We start from the raw sequence: 15,878 nt of genomic DNA on the forward strand, positions 1-15,878 counted from the left end.
ACAAACAAGTGTATTTTCATTGTTTGTATAAATGTATATAATGTGATTCTTAAAAAGTCAACTCTCTCTTGTTCCACATCAAGTATTTTGTATCACAATTATTCTTTTTATTTGAACTTACGTAAAACTTAGTGGTTTCACTAGGTTTTAAGCAGATTATCTATATCACAGTTTTACTAAAAGGACTCCATTCCAATGCTGATTTATGCTGATATATCAAATCTTATATTCCTTTTGCTTTCATCTTAACCACTGAAAACAGCAAATATATTCTTTCTGCTTATATTATAATACTATATTAAACAACTGGAAGGGCTGAGGACAAAGCCATTCATCTTAACCAAATAGCATTCTAACCTGGTGCCAAATATACAGATATTTTAACTCCAGCAAATGCCTCATGAGAATGACCCATATATTACATATAGTCTGATTAGGAGAGCAACTACTATCACGATTTCATGTTCATCGTTATAAAAGAGGAAATGGGCAGGGCATGGCGTTTCACACCTATAATCCTAACACTTTGGAGGCTGGGTGCGGTGGCTCACGCCTGTAGTCCCAGCACTTTGGGAGGTCAAGGCAGGCGGATCACTTAAGGTCAGGAGTTCGAGACCAGCCTAGCCAACATGGTGAAACCCCATCTCTACTAAAAATACAAAAATTAGCCAGGCATGGTGGCGCCCTTGTGCAATCCCAGCTATTCGGGGGGCTGAGGCAGGAGAATCACTTGAACCCAGGAGGTGGAGGTTGCTGTGAGCTGAGATGGCGTCACTGTACTCCAGCCTGGGCAATAGAGTGAGACTCAGTCTCAAAATAAATAAATAAATAAATAAATAAATAAATAAATAAATAAATAAATAAATAAATAAAATAATAATAATCCTAACACTTTGGGAGGCTGAGGTGAGTGGACTGCTTGAGCCCAGGAGTTTGAGACCAGCCTGGGATACATGGCGAAACCCCATCTCTACTAAAAGAAATACAAAAAATTAGCCAGGTATTGTGATGCATGCCTGTAGTCCCAGCTACTCGAGAGGCTGAGGTGGGAGGATCACCTGAGCCCAGGAAGTCAAGGCTGCAGTTAGATGAGAATGTGCCACTGCACTCCAGCCTGGGCGACAGGAGTGAGACCCTGTCTCAAAAAATATAAAATAAAATAAAAATAAAAGAGGAAAACATTCCCAGAAAACATTACAATCTACATTTTAAAAAAAGGCAAAAATTGGAGAATAAATGAAACACACAAATAGGAAACTAATCTTGTCACCCACCACGAACACCTACCCTTCTCCCCAACTCAGTCAAAGTAAGTCTACCTGGAAATCTAATGCATATGTAGTACCAATGATAAGAAAATAAGAAATACATAATGAAAATTATCGTTAAATAGAAAGGGATCTCCACATATACAAGGAAATTACTATCTCCACCTTTTAAAATTATTTTTTCTATTTACTTTGTTGCTTCAATGTTTCCTGAATTAAACAAATGACAGATAAATTATAGTCATATGAAATTGGGTTTGTTTCATGGTGGAGGTGGAAAGTTCTGAACAAAGCAGATTTTCCAAAATAGCTCTTCTTAGCAACACTATCTGTAATGACATTGAAAGACTAGAAAACACAACGCGCTCATCAGGAGAAAACTGATGAACAACAGTTCATGATGGACAACAGATGTCTCATGAGAATGACCCATATATCCTACATAGTCTAATTAGAAGAGTTACTACTGTAACAATTTCATGTTCATGCAATACCAGCTGCTTCATGTTCATTCTTATAAAAGAGGAACTAGGACTGAAGCAGTGGCTCATGCCTGTAATCCTAGCACTTTGGGAGGCTGAGGCAGGCAGATCGATTGAGCTCAGGAATTTGAGACTAGCTAGGCAACATGGTGAAACCCCATCTCTACTAAAAAAAAATACAAAAAAATGGCCAGGCACAGTGGCTCACACCTGTAATCCCAACACTTTGGGAGGCCGAGGCAGGCGGATCACCTGACGTCAGGAGTTCGAAATCAGCCTCGACCAACATGGTAGAACGCTGTCTCTACTAAAAATGCAAAAATTAGCTGGGCATCGTGGCATCCACCTGTAATCCCAGCTACTAGGGAGACTGAGGCAGGACAATCGCTTGAACCAAGGAGACAGAGGTTGCAGTGAGCCGAGATCACGCCACTGCACTCCAGCCTGGGCAACGTGTTAGAGCGACACTCCGTCTCAAAAAAAAAAAAAAAAAAAAAAATTAGCTGGGCATGGTGGTGCACATCTTTAGTCCCAGCATTCTCTTGAGGTGTAGTTAAATAAATTATGGCCTAACCATTAAAAAGATACATTAGCAGCTGTAAAAGAAAGGGGAAAAATCTCTACATATTACAATGAAGTGTTCTTCCAGATATATTAAGTGAAAAAAGCGACAGCAGAAAAGTATGCATTTTTGTGCAAAAAAAGGAAAATATGAAGAGCCATACCTATATTTGCTTATAGTTTCAAAGAGAAGTAACAGAATAAATCTACTACATTTAATTATCTATACAAGAGAGAAGAGAAAGAAGGGAGATAAGAAAGGAGAGGGATCGACCAAGTGCTGTGAATAAAGAGATCTTTAGGTCAGGCACGGTGGCTCACGCCTGTAATCCCAACACTTTGGGAGGCCGAGGCAGGCGGATTACCTGAGGTGGGGAGTTCCAGACCAGCCTGACCAACATGGAGAAACCCTGTCTCTACTAAAAATACAAAATTATCTGGGTGGGCGGGGTGACACATGCCTGTAATCCCAGCTACTCGGAGGCTGAGGCAAGAGAATCACTTGAACTCGGGAGGTGGAGGTTGCAGTGAGCCAAGATCGCACCATTGTACTACTCCAGCCTGGATGACAGAGCGAGACTCCGTCTCAAAAAAAAAAAAAAAAAAAGTTATCTTTGAGATTTGATTTGGTCAGAAAAGCCTCTAATCCACATTGTCAACCTCAGAGCTTTCTGCAATGTATAATGTAGCTTTCTCATCTCACCTTCTGGAAAACGGAATGTGATTACATATTTCATTTATTACGCTTCGATTTTCTTGTATCTGGGTTCTACTCTTAGGATGAGGTTATCCAATTATATATATATTTAGAGGAAGAAATGAAGGGGAAATTCAATATGTTTATGTCACTTTCTTATTGCCTGAAAATTGAATAAAATCAAATTTATCAGTTGTTCCCCCTAATTATGCAAAAGATCTTTTGAAAACTATATTACATGAGTGCTTCTGCCTCTTTAAGACAAAAGAAGAATGTAACCCAAAACTGTCATTTTTTCTTAAAGTTCATCATAAAAGTACTAAAAGAGTAACTGTAATTAGATTTTTATTGTGTTTTAAGTAAAGTAAGGTCTATGTGTTTGAGGGGAAAAAAAAGAAGGGACATGAATAGAGGACAAGCCTTCTCTGTATCTTGCTTTATATAATTTTGAGTTTGAAACTATGTGAATGTACACATAATTAAAAATAAATTAAAAAGCAAAATACATACACATACAGACATACACAGACATACTCTTAAATTGCAATAACTTTCTAAATACTAGTAGTAACTGGTAGCTTGTGGCTGGGCGTGGTGGCTCATGCCTGTAATCCCAGCACTTTGGGAGGCTGAGGTGGAGGGATCACTTGAGCCCAGGAGTTGGAGACCAGCCTGGGAAACATAGCAAACCCTGTCTCTACAAAAAGTACAAAAATTAGTCGGGAGTGGGACATGAGGCTGTAGCGCTGGCTACTCGAGAGGCTGAGGTGGGAAGATCGCTTGAACCCAGGAGGTCAAAGCTGCAGTGAGCCAAGATGGTGCCACTGCACTCCAGCCTGGGCAGCGACAGAGCAAGACCCTGTCTCAAAACGAACAAACAAAAAACAAAAAATTTTCTTGGACTTATCTTGGGATAAAAATCACTATTTTCCTCATATCCCTTTCCATCTCTACATGTTCTTTCTTTGGAATTGAAATAGCAACCATGTTTTCCTACTAAAGTTTTCTGGCCATGTTCAGTGGCTCACGCCTGTAATCCCAGCACTTTGGGAGGCCGAGGCAGGCTGATCACTTGAGCCCAGGAGTTCGAGACCAGCCTGGGCAACATGAGAAAACCTCATCTCTACAAAAAATGCAAAATTAACCGGGCATGGTAGCCCACACCTGTAGTCCCCGCTACTCGGGAGGCTGAGGTAGGAGGATCGCTTGAGCCCAGGAGGCAGAGGTTGCAGTAAGCCAAGAGAGAGCCACTGAACTCCAGCATGGGTGACATAATGAGACCCTGCCTCAAAACAAAACAAAACAAAAACATGCAGAATGTACTGTTTTACCTGGTAAGGAAGGGTAATATGGTCTTCCTTCCTTTTAAAATAAGATGCAGCCCAAAATATACCATTCAAAGACTATGCTTGGATTTAACACATAATGCTGTAAGAGTAAACAGGATAATGGATGATAAAATAGATAACAAAAGTTGAAAAAAATAGATACATTAGACCTTCCTCATTTTAGAAAAATTAGACATGTCAATTGGGAAAAATACAAAACAGTACCTAAGTGGGGAAAAAAAGACAACAGAAACGAAGTAGGTGAGAAAAATCTAGAAAACTGAAACCATCACAAGAAATCCCTGTATATAACAGACTTTCAACTCCATCAATGTGTCTTTCCAATTACTGTACCAAGGAATAGCAGCTTTAAATGACCGATCTGAAGAAAACACGGCACTGTTAAGCTTATGAGGTAAATATCTAACATCTATTTCTTTAACAGAATGAATGAAAAGTATGCTGACTCACATTAATGGTGAAAATTAGAAGCATACATCTGAATATATAAGAATTAATACCTTATTAAAATGGATAAAATCACTTTTCTATGATCTCCAAAGAGTATTATTCTGTTTAATGAAATTTTACTAAAATTAACGTAGTACTTCATCGTATCTCATTCTCAGTCTTCATGGCCAACATAAAAATAAAGCTGAAAGGAGGTGCCTTTCAGTAAAAGGGAAAGAAGCTAAAAAAAAAAAAAACTGTTTTCTTCTGGTGTGTAGTTTAATCCTACTTAAGCCCAGGAGTTCGAGACCACTCTGGGCAACTTAGTGAGACCCTATCTCTAGTTCTAAAAATAATAAGGCCGGGTGTGGTGGCTCATGCCTGTAATCCCAGCACTTTGGGAGGCCAAGGCAGGAGGATCACCTGAGGTCAGGAGTTCAAGACAAGCCTGGCCAACATGGCAAAACTCTGCCTCTACTAAAAAAATACAAAAATTAGCCAGGCGTGGTGGCTCATGCCTATAATCCCAGCACTTTAGGAGGCTGAGGTGGGTGGATCACCTGATGTCAGGAGTTTGAGACCAGCCTGGCCAACGTGGTGAAACCTCATCTCTACTAAAAATACAAAAAATTAGCCAGGCGTGGTGGCGGGTGCCTGTAATCCCAGCTACTTGGGAGGCTGAGGCAGGAGAATTGCTTGAACTTGGGAGGCAGAGGTTGCAGTGAGCCGAGGTCGCGCCATTGCACTCCAGCCTGGGCAACAAGAGCAAGAATCCGTCTCAAAAAAAAAAATACAAAAATTAGTTGGGCGTCGTGGTGGGCGCCTGTAATCCTAGCTACTTGGGAGGCTGAGGTAGGGAGAACTGCTTGAACTAGGAGGCAGAGGTTGCAGTGAGCCAAGATCGCGCTAGTGCACTCCAGCCTGGGCGAAAGAGCAAGACTCCATCCCTCCCCACCGAAAAAAAAAAAAAAATGGCCAGGAGTGGTGGCTCACACCTGTAATCCCAGCACTTTGGGAGGCCAAGGCAGGTGGATCACTTGAGTCCAGGAGTTCAAGACCAGCCTGGCCAACATCATGAAACTCTGTCTCCACTAAATATACAACTAATAATACTAATTTTTTTAAATCTGCCTGAAGCAGGAGAATCGCTTGAACCCGGGACGTGGAGGTTGCAGTGAGCCAAGATCGCACCACTGCACTCCAGCCTGGGCAACAACAGCGAAACTCCGTCTCAAAAAAAAAAAAAAAAAAAAAAAAATCCGCCTGAAGAGTTAAGCTATAGTAATTGCCTCCACCTGCTTTTAAATGCAAATAGCAATCAATCCTCCCGTATGAGGAGATGTTGGCAGGGATCTGAGAATGCAAGTAATATAATTAGATAAAACAATTTCCCACAACCAAATCATAACTATGTTCCTATAAATGATCTGCCAAACCACTTTAATAGAAAAAAAAGGCCCAGGACACAGCCAGAGAGCAGATTTCAGAATCCTTCTCTGGATAAACTAAATGGCCTCAAAGAAAAAAACTATAAGTAATAAAAATTGGGCAACCCTTAAACCTATTCTTAGCCTTACCACCCAATAAAGAAGTCTACTAACTGATAAGCTTTCTTATACTCAGTCAGGGTTTTAATGCCTCAATTTGAAATAGAAAATAATGCCTGGTCTAACCAAAGATTTGAGGTAAGTGTCCAACATGAAAAAAATCAAAACAAATAAAAATAATACGAATGAAAAAAAAAGGCACAGGATAGAAGAAAACTTAAAAAAACAGCCAACAACAATTTATTACTATCTTCAGAGTTAAGACACTATAACATAAAACCTTAATAGCATGTCACAATAAAGGAAAATCTAGAGAAGAAAATAGCTCCAAAAAAACCCCAAAAAGACACCAAACATTAAAACTTCAATAGAAGGATCAGAAGATAAAGTCAAGGATATTCACACCCAGAAAAATAAAAAGACAGAGATAGACAATTTTAGAAAAAAAGAACATTAGAGGATCAACTCAGGAAGTTCTACATCCAACTAACAGTAGTTTCAGAAAGAACAGAGAGAACAATAAGGGAGAAATTAACAAAGAAAGAATACAAGACAGTTTCTCAGGGCTAAAAAGTGCATAACCAGACTGTCAAAAGAAGCTACTCAGTAAAATAAGTGAAAAAGGAGTTATAAACCCCAACGTGAAATTTCAAAATAGCAGGGATGAAGACCTTCAAAAACTTCTAACAGCTGGAGGGCTGGGGGTAATACATATAATGGCTTCTAGCTTTTTTAAGAGCAATGCTTGAAGCTAAAAGAAAGTGGATCAATTCTGAGGGAAATGATTTATAACTAACAATGTACACAGTCAAACCATCAATCAAGTATATAAAATAAGAACATTTTCCAACATTCATTCCTCAAAAATTTTATTTTCCATGCACCCTTTCTCAGGAAGCTACTAGAGATGTCCTTCACCATACTAAGGAAATACACACAAAATATATATAAATGAAATACTACAGAGAAGTGAAGGGAAGGAAATCCTCAGGATGACAGCTGTGGAGTGGGCCTCGGACAGCAACCAGTCCGACATAAAATTGAACACCATTTCCCAGCTTTTATTTCATTATATTCTCTGTGTTTTACAGCTTTTTTCTAATCAATCCTTTCCCCCGATTAAAGTATTTTTTAAAATAACACCACAATTGTATTGTGTATCTATTTATGCATGGAGACCCTTTGGAGAGCCACAGACCACTGTAATAGCTAAGATTTTTTTGTCCCCCAAGGACCAATTTTTACCACATAGGAATATCATCCTTAATGAGAATATATGCAGTAACAATAGAGATTTCTTGAAGGAGCCATTGATAAATGGGTTATTTGACAAATTAATCTCTCGAGTAGAAAATACAGTTGAAGAAGTCTGAGAAACTAGCAACAGACACAAAGAACTGAGCAAGATGTTTTGTTTTGGTTTTTTTTTTTTTGAGACAGAGTTTCGCTCTTGTTGTCCAAGCTGGAGTGCAACGGTGGGATCTCGGCTTACTGCAACCTCCGCCTCAAGCAGCTGGGATTACAGGAGTGTGCCACCACGCCCAGCTGATTTTCTGTATTTTTAGTAGAAACAGGGTTTCACCATTTTAGTCAGGCTGGTCTTGAACTCCTGACCTCAGGTGATTCAGCCTCCCAAAGTGCTGGGATTACAGGCGTGAGCCACCACAAGATGTTTTTAAAAAGACAATTACTAACTCCTGAAAACACAAAATACTGTATCAGAAAGCCCAATAATTGGCTAAGCAGTGAAGAAGTGAATGACATTTAGTCATATTATAAGCAGTGAATATTAACCAAAAACTATGAGATGGAGTGGAAAGGATAGACAGTAATTAAGCCAAATCCTTATCAATGATAATGAGAAGTCAATAAATAAAACTTATTTAAATTTAAAACTTATTACGCCATAGACAGCCATATAAAAATATTACTTAGAAGCACATAATCAATACCCGAGGAAAAGACTACAGAAATTGGTGGGGCAAGGTACAGATCACTGTTGTTTTTTCCTTTAAGTCTTTTTATCATTTTGTCTATGTACACATATCATTTTGATAAATTTATTTTTCTTTTGAGGCAGGGTCTTGCTCTGTCACCTAGGTTGGAGTGCAGTTGCGCAATCACAGCTTTTTGCACCCTTGACTTCACAGGCTCAAGCAATCTTCTCACCTCAGCCTCCTGAGTAGCTGGGACTACAGGTATACACCACCACACCCAACTAATTTTTTTTTTTTGAGACTCACTCTGTTGCCCAGGCTGGAGTGCAGTGGCGTGATCTCGGCTGACTGCAACCTCTGCCTCCCAGGTTCAAGCGATTCTCCTGCCACAGCCTTCCAAGTAGCTGGGACTACAGGTGCCTGCTGCTGGCTAATTTTTGAATTTTTAGTAGAGACAGGGTTTCACTGTGTTGGCCAGGCTGGTCTGGAATTCCTGACCTCAAGTGATCCACCCGTCTCAGCCTCCCAAAGTGCTGGGATTACAGGCGTGAGCCACCATGCCCAGCTACCAGCTAATTTTTTTTAAAAAATTTTCTTCAGATGGGGTCTCAATATGTTACCCAGGCTGGTCTTGAACTCCTGGCCTCAAGTGATCCTCCCACCTTAGCTTCCCAAAGCGCTGGGATTAGAGGCCTGAGCGACTATGCCTGGCCTTAATAAATTAAAAGTAACAGGTATATGGGCTTTGGAGGTTAGCAAAATATTTGCAGTATGAAAAAGATACTTTTGGTCAGCATCTGAACTCATTCCTGTCATCTCAGCACTTTGAGAGGTGGCTGCTTGAGGCCAGTGGTTTGAGACCAGCCTAGGCAACATAGCAAATGAGTGGACCTGGTCACTCATGCTTGTAATCCCAGCACTCTGGGAGGCCAAAGCAGGCAGATCACTTGAGGTCAGGAGTTTTAGACAAACGTGGCCAACATGGTGAAACCCCGTCTCTTATTAAAAATACAAAAATTAGCCGGGTGTGGTGGTGCACACCTGTAGTCCCAGAAACTCAGGAGGCTGGGGCAGAAGAATCGTGTGAACCCAGGGGGAAGAGGTTGCAGTGAGCCAAGATCGTGCCACTACACTCCAGCCTGGGCAAAAGAGTGAGACTCCGACTAAAAAAAATAAAATAAAATAAAATAAAATAAAATTAAAATTAAATAAAATAAAAAATACATAGGCCAGGCACAGTGGCTCACAACTGTAATCCCAGCACTTTGGGAGGCCAAGGTACGAGGATCGCTTGAGGCCAGAAGTTCAACACCAGCCTGCTAATAAACACAGCGAGACCTTATCTCTACACACACACACACACACACACACACACACAGATTTTAATTAACCAAGCATAGTACACACCTATAGTCCCACCTACTCAGGAGGCTGAGATGGGATGACCCCTTGAGCTCAAGAGTTCAAGGTTACAGTGGGCTATGATCATACCACTGCACACCAGCCTTAGGGTGATAGAGTAAGACCCTGTCTCTTAAAAATAAGAAAAAAAAATAAAAGAAATAAATATAAGACAAAAAGATATTTTTGTTTTTTAAATATGATAGGTAATCCCTCTCTGTGCCCCTTTAGCACTTTTGGCATACCAGGTATGCCACAGCTCTATTACAATGTATTGTTGATATTAACGTATTATAAATTAGACCTTACTATGATTACTGATTAACACGTTTGTCTCCCTACCAGATTATAAACTTTAAAGCATGTGTTATTCATCTCTGCATCTCAATACAAAGCACACAGCAGAAATCAATAAATATTTGTTGCATGGCTAACAAACTTGTTAAGATCCTGCAAAACAGAATCACATATAAAGGTCTACGAGAGGCCTTAAGAAAGAATCCAGCCAGGCCAGGAGTGGTGGCTCACGCCTGTAATCCCAGCACTTTGGGAGGCTGAGGCAGGTGGATCAGTTGAGGTCAGGAGTTCGAAACCAGCCTGGCCAACATGATGAAACTCCATCACCTCTAAAAATACAAAAAATTAGCTGGGCGTGGTGGTGGGCACCTGTAATCCCAGATACTCGGGAGGCTGAGGCAGGAGAATCTCTCGAACCCGGGAGGTGGAGGTTTCAGTGAGCCGAGATCATGCCACCACACTCCAGCCTGGGTGACAGAGTGAGACTCCGTCTCAAAAAAAGTGAAAAAAAAAAAAAGAAAAGAATCCAGCCAAACTCCTGTTTTCAGAGGTGGAAACAGAGTCTCAGAAACACTAAGTGACTTGGCTGGGCATGGTGGCTCATGCCTGTAATCTCAACACTTTGAGAGGCCAGGGTGAGAGGATCACTTGAACATAGTGAGACCCTGTCTCTACAAAAAAATTTAAAAATTAGCCAAGCATGGTGGTGTGCAGCTATAGTCCTAATTACTTGGGAGGCTGAGGTGAGAAGATTGCATAAGTCCAGGAGTTCAAGGCTGCAATGAGCAATGATTACACCACTACACTCCAGCCTGTGTGACAGAGAGAGACCTTGTCTCTTTTAAAAAAACATATTAGCCTGGCATAGTTGGTAGGCTGAGGTGAGAGGATCACCTGAGCCCAGGGAGGTTGAGGCTACAGTGAACTGTGATAGCACCACTGCACTCCAGCCTGGTTGACAGAGTGAGACCCTGTCACAAAAAATACTATAAATAAAAATAAAAAGAAACACTAAGTGACTTATTCAGGTTATCTAATTAACTAATGACTATGGTAGTACAAAAACTTGGACACTCTGGCATTTGATTCATTGCCCTTCACACTACAACACTGATGAGAGAAAAATAACAGTTCAAATTCTATTCCTTTCTCCAAGAAATACCCAAATTTTTGCTTCATATTGAAAACATGCTAGGAACTGTTAAGAAATTCAGATTTTTTTGACTGGTAAAGATAACCATAATATTCTCAACTTAAAATTATCAAGTTGACTCATCTTGCTGGAATTAAAACTAAAGGCAAAGAAAAAAGAAAAAAATACAGAACACTTAAACGAAATAATTCTACAAATATTTTTAACTATACAAGAGCAACAACTAACTTGGTGACCTAACATATGCCTGTTTCAAATTCTCTGCGTATGTTTAGGAAAAACTTTTTTTTTTTTTTTTAAACAGAGTCTCGCTCTGTTGCCCAGGCTGGAGTGCCATGGTGCCATCTTGGCTCACTGCAACCTCTGCCTCCCGGGTTCAAGCGATTCTTCTGCCTTGGCCTCCCAAGTAGCTGGGATTACAGGCACCTGCCACCACACCCAGCTAATTTTTGTATTTTTAGTAGAGACGGGGTTTCACTATGTTGGTCAGGCTGGTCTTGAACTCCTGACCTCAAGTGATCCGCCTGCCTCGGCCTCCCAAAGTGCTGGGATTACAGGGGTAAGCCACCACGCCTGGCTGCTTAGGAAAATCTTTAAATATGATATTAGGAAGTATTAAAGTATTAGATTATAAACTATCCTGGCCTAAAAAGATTACTTTATTAGACTGCTGAAATATGTTAATTTGATGATGTACTTTGAATATTTTCCCTCTAAAATATCTACCCCATGTCAATTAAGACTTTTTAATATTGGAAAACAGTTAGACCAAATACTTCTAATTCACTTTACATATTAATATATAATTTCAGGCTGGGAACAGTGGCTCACACCTGTAATCCCAGCACTTGGGAAGCTAAGCAGGAGGATCACTTGAGGTCAGGAGTTTAACACCAGCCTGGGGAACATAATGAGACTCCCTATCTCTATAAAAATTTAACTTAAAAAATAAAACACAGGAGGATCACTTGAGGTCAGGAGTTTAAGACCAGCCTGGGGAACATAATGAGACCCCCTATCTCTATAAAAATTTAATTTAAAAAATAAAATACATATGTACATATATGATTTTACCTACCAATCTTGTTATGAAAACATTTACCATTCAAGTTAAAGACGTACTCACAACAGATTACATATTTACGCATTTTATAAACATTTCCTCCACTTAACACCAAGCAAGATAAAAATACAATAAACTTAATGCTTATTTAATTATAATATTACTTATGTCACAAAAGAATTTTTTAATTTACTGTTAGTTCTTTCATTCAACAAATATTTATTATGCATATGTTCTAGATACTACTTTAGGTCCTAAAATAATAAACAGGCAAAGTTCCTAGGACTGTTTTCAACATTGTATTCTCAGGCCCTAGCACTTAGTAAACTCTTAAATACATGTTGATCATCTCCCAAGTCATAGAATCGCTTTTTCTAACAAAACGAAATTTCACTCAAAAAATAACAATAAACCTTGTTACATACCACTGATGTTAAGGTCATAATCTCCTGCTGTAATCACATTAGCTACTAATCCTTCTGCAGGCTGACTGCCAGAAACAACATCATTCAAAAGCTTCCGGATGGCTCCAGGCTGAGGTGGCTGGGTGACAATGTTGCTTACTGCTATCTTCAAATTTTTAATTACGTGAAGTTGATTATTAGGATCTCTCATGTGAACTTTAAAGAAAAAAAGAAAAAAACTTGAAATTAATTCTATACAATGCATAATAACCCAAAATTGGGCTGATGGTTTACAAACAAAAAGGATGTACAAAGCAGAAGCCAGCAATTCCAAGTGGAACGTTCTTCCAGAAATATAAATGGTTGACAACATTCCCTCATATACCAAAAGGGCTAGCTAGACAGTTTATTAACCACAGGATTCCTTCCCCTCTCACTACTGCTCAGCTTTCCTACTGTAGGTCCTCTCCTTTCCTATGTTTGGAGTTGCCAGAAACCAACTACTATCCATACCACTTCCCTTATTCTCACCTCACACTAAAGCTGGTCCAAGGCAGCGTAAGGTCTATGGTATTAACACTAGAAACAGTAAAAGGAAAAAGAAAGGGGAGTTAAAATGTTGCACTTGGGCTTCCTTCTTCTTTCCCTAGTCGGCCTGCATTCTTAGCCTCTTTTTCACTCTCATAAAAATCAATGCCCACACCAGTGCACGATGCTGTGGTGGAGGCTGTGCATGTGCAGGGCCAAGAGGTATGTAGAAACTCTCTGTACTTTCTGCTCAAATTTGCCATTAATCTAAAACTGGTCTTAAAAATAGAGTCTACTTAAAAAAAAAACTCTGGCCAGGCGCGGTGGCTCACGCCTATAATCACAGCACTTTGGGAGGCCGAGACAGACAGCTTGAAGTCAGGAGTTGGAGACAAGCCTGGCCAACATGGCAAAACCTTGTCTCTAGTAAAAATACAAAAAATTAGCTGGGTATGGTGGCGGGTGCCTGTAATCCCAGCTACTCAGGAGGCTGAGGCAGGAGAATTGCTTGAATCCGGGAGGCGGAGGTTGCAGCGAGCCGAGATTGCACTGCTGCACTCTAGCTTGGGTGACAGAGTGAGACTTGGTCTCCAAAAAAAAAAAAACAACAACAACAACAAAAAAACAATGTCCAGATCCCTTTTACCACCCTAATACTTCCTGCCTCCACCGTCCTATAGTCCTTGTTTCAGCCTATACAATTTATAACCAGTAAGTAGTTCAGAGATTCAGGACAGGGAATAGGTTCTGAGGCAATTACAGCAAGAAGACAGTGTCCACAGTCCACAGAACAAAATGTGAGCATATTTTTTCACATAATCAGACAAAATGTTCCACAGTAGCATTAAAAGCAGTCCATTACAGGGCTGGGCACAGTGGCTCACGCCTGTAATCCCAGCACTTTAGTAGGTAGAGGTGGGTGGATCACCTGAGGTCAGGAGTTCGAGACCAGCCTGGCCAACATAGTGAAACCTCGTCTCTACTAAAAATACAAAAAGTAGCCAGGCATGGTGGCGGGCGCCTGTAATCCCAGCTACTGGGGACGCTGAGGCAGGAGAATCACTTGAATGCGGAGGCTGCAGTGAGCCAAGGCGGAGGGTTGCAGTGAGCCAAGATTGCGCCACTGCATTCCAGCCTGGGCGACAGAGTGAGACTCCGTCTCAAAAAAAAAAAAAAAAAAAAAAAGCCGGGCGCAGTGGCTCACACCTGTAATCCCAGCACTTTGGGAGGCCAAGGCGGGCAGATCACGAGGTCAGGAGACCGAGACCATCCTGGCTAACACGGTGAAACCCTGTCTCTACTAAAAACATAAAAAATTAGCCGGGCGTGGTGGTGGGCACCTATAGTCCCAGCTACTTGGGAGGCTGAAGCAGGAGAATGGTGTGAACCCGGCGGGCGGAGCTGGCAGTGAGCTGAGATCGTGCCACTGCACTCCAGCCTGGGCAACAGAGCGAGACTCCGTCTCAAAAAAAAAAAAAAAAAAAAGGAGTCCATTATAATGATTGAGGACCCAGCTTTTGGAGTTGGACCTTGATTTAAATCCCAACCCATTACTTATCAACTGGGTTACCCTGAACAACTTAACCCTTCTGTGCTTCAAATTCTTCATCTGCACATGTGATTACTATCTACTTCACGGGATCATTTTAGTGATTTAGGTGAACTATTGTTAGACAGTAATTGCAAAGCACTGAGCACCATGCTCAACAATACATAATGAAGGCGGTATAGCAGCAGCAGCAGATACAACATCACCTATTTCACCTGCACCATGGGTTATTATCACATACAAATAAGAGGCAACTTTGGGAAAGTGGTCTGGGTACCTACAAATAAAGAATGACACATTCTTCTCAATGGAAAATGCCTTATACCAAAATCAAGGCCTGCGTATATTTTAAATAAAGTTATATGCATACAAACTTTTCTACATTTCCTATGTGTTCTATTGATTTCTAACATTTTTTACTAAAAAAAAAGACTCAAAAACGTTTTTAAAATACTGTATGTGGTACAAATGTGTATTTATATTGTAAACATAAATATAGATACACAAAAAGTATACATGCAGCCGGGCATGGTGTCTCACTGTTGTAATCCCAGCACTTTTGGGAGGCTGAAGCGGGCGGAACACTTGAGGTCAGGAGTTCGAGACCAGCCTGGCCAACAAGGTGAAACCCCCATCTCTACTAAAATACAAAAATTAGCCAGGCATGGTGGCAAGCGCCTGTATTCCCAGCTATTTGGAAGGCTGAGGCAAGAGAATCACTTGAAACCAGGAGGCAGAAGTTGCAGTGAGCCAAGATTGCGCCACTGCACTCCAGCCTGGGCGACAGAGACTCCCTTTCAAAAAAAAAAAATGGTACATGCAAATTCTATGATAGTGGTTGCCTATAAAAGGAAGGAAAGAAAAGAGACTAAGATAAGGTAGAAAGAAAACTTCAACCTGGGAAGTCTGTCCTATAACGTTTGATTTTTTTTTTAAAAGAAAAGATAAAAAGCAAATATGATGGAGGGTTAATATTTGTTAGTTCTGGGTAGTGGGGAGGTGGATGTTTCTTGTATTATCTGCATTCTTCTATAACTGTTATGTTTTCTAACTTAAATAAACATACCAGCCTCTCTCCCTAAACTTCCCAGTCAGTCTAATTATGCAGCAGAGAAACAAACAAACAAACAAAAAAACTATGGTGCATTTCTGATATCCTTAGGAACATATTGGACAAGTATTTTCCTTAAAGTTGCTTCATAGCTGGGCGCAG

General features: G+C 40.5%; 1 protein-coding gene across 11 annotated transcripts in view; it reads right to left on the reverse strand.

Annotated features, from left to right (window-relative positions):
* The window catches only part of TRAPPC8 (trafficking protein particle complex subunit 8), a 113,932-nt gene that overhangs the window by 89,523 nt on the left and 8,531 nt on the right, over positions 1–15,878 (reverse strand). For all 11 annotated transcript variants that reach the window (XM_017025616.3, NM_014939.5, XM_005258234.4 and 8 more), the window contains exon 2: positions 12,610–12,804. In XM_017025616.3, the coding sequence (XP_016881105.1) occupies positions 12,610–12,804 (195 nt within the window). The remainder of the gene's footprint in view (positions 1–12,609; positions 12,805–15,878) is intronic.

Source organism: Homo sapiens, chromosome 18, assembly GCF_000001405.40.
Source record: "Homo sapiens chromosome 18, GRCh38.p14 Primary Assembly".
Taxonomy (NCBI): Eukaryota; Metazoa; Chordata; class Mammalia; order Primates; family Hominidae; genus Homo; species Homo sapiens.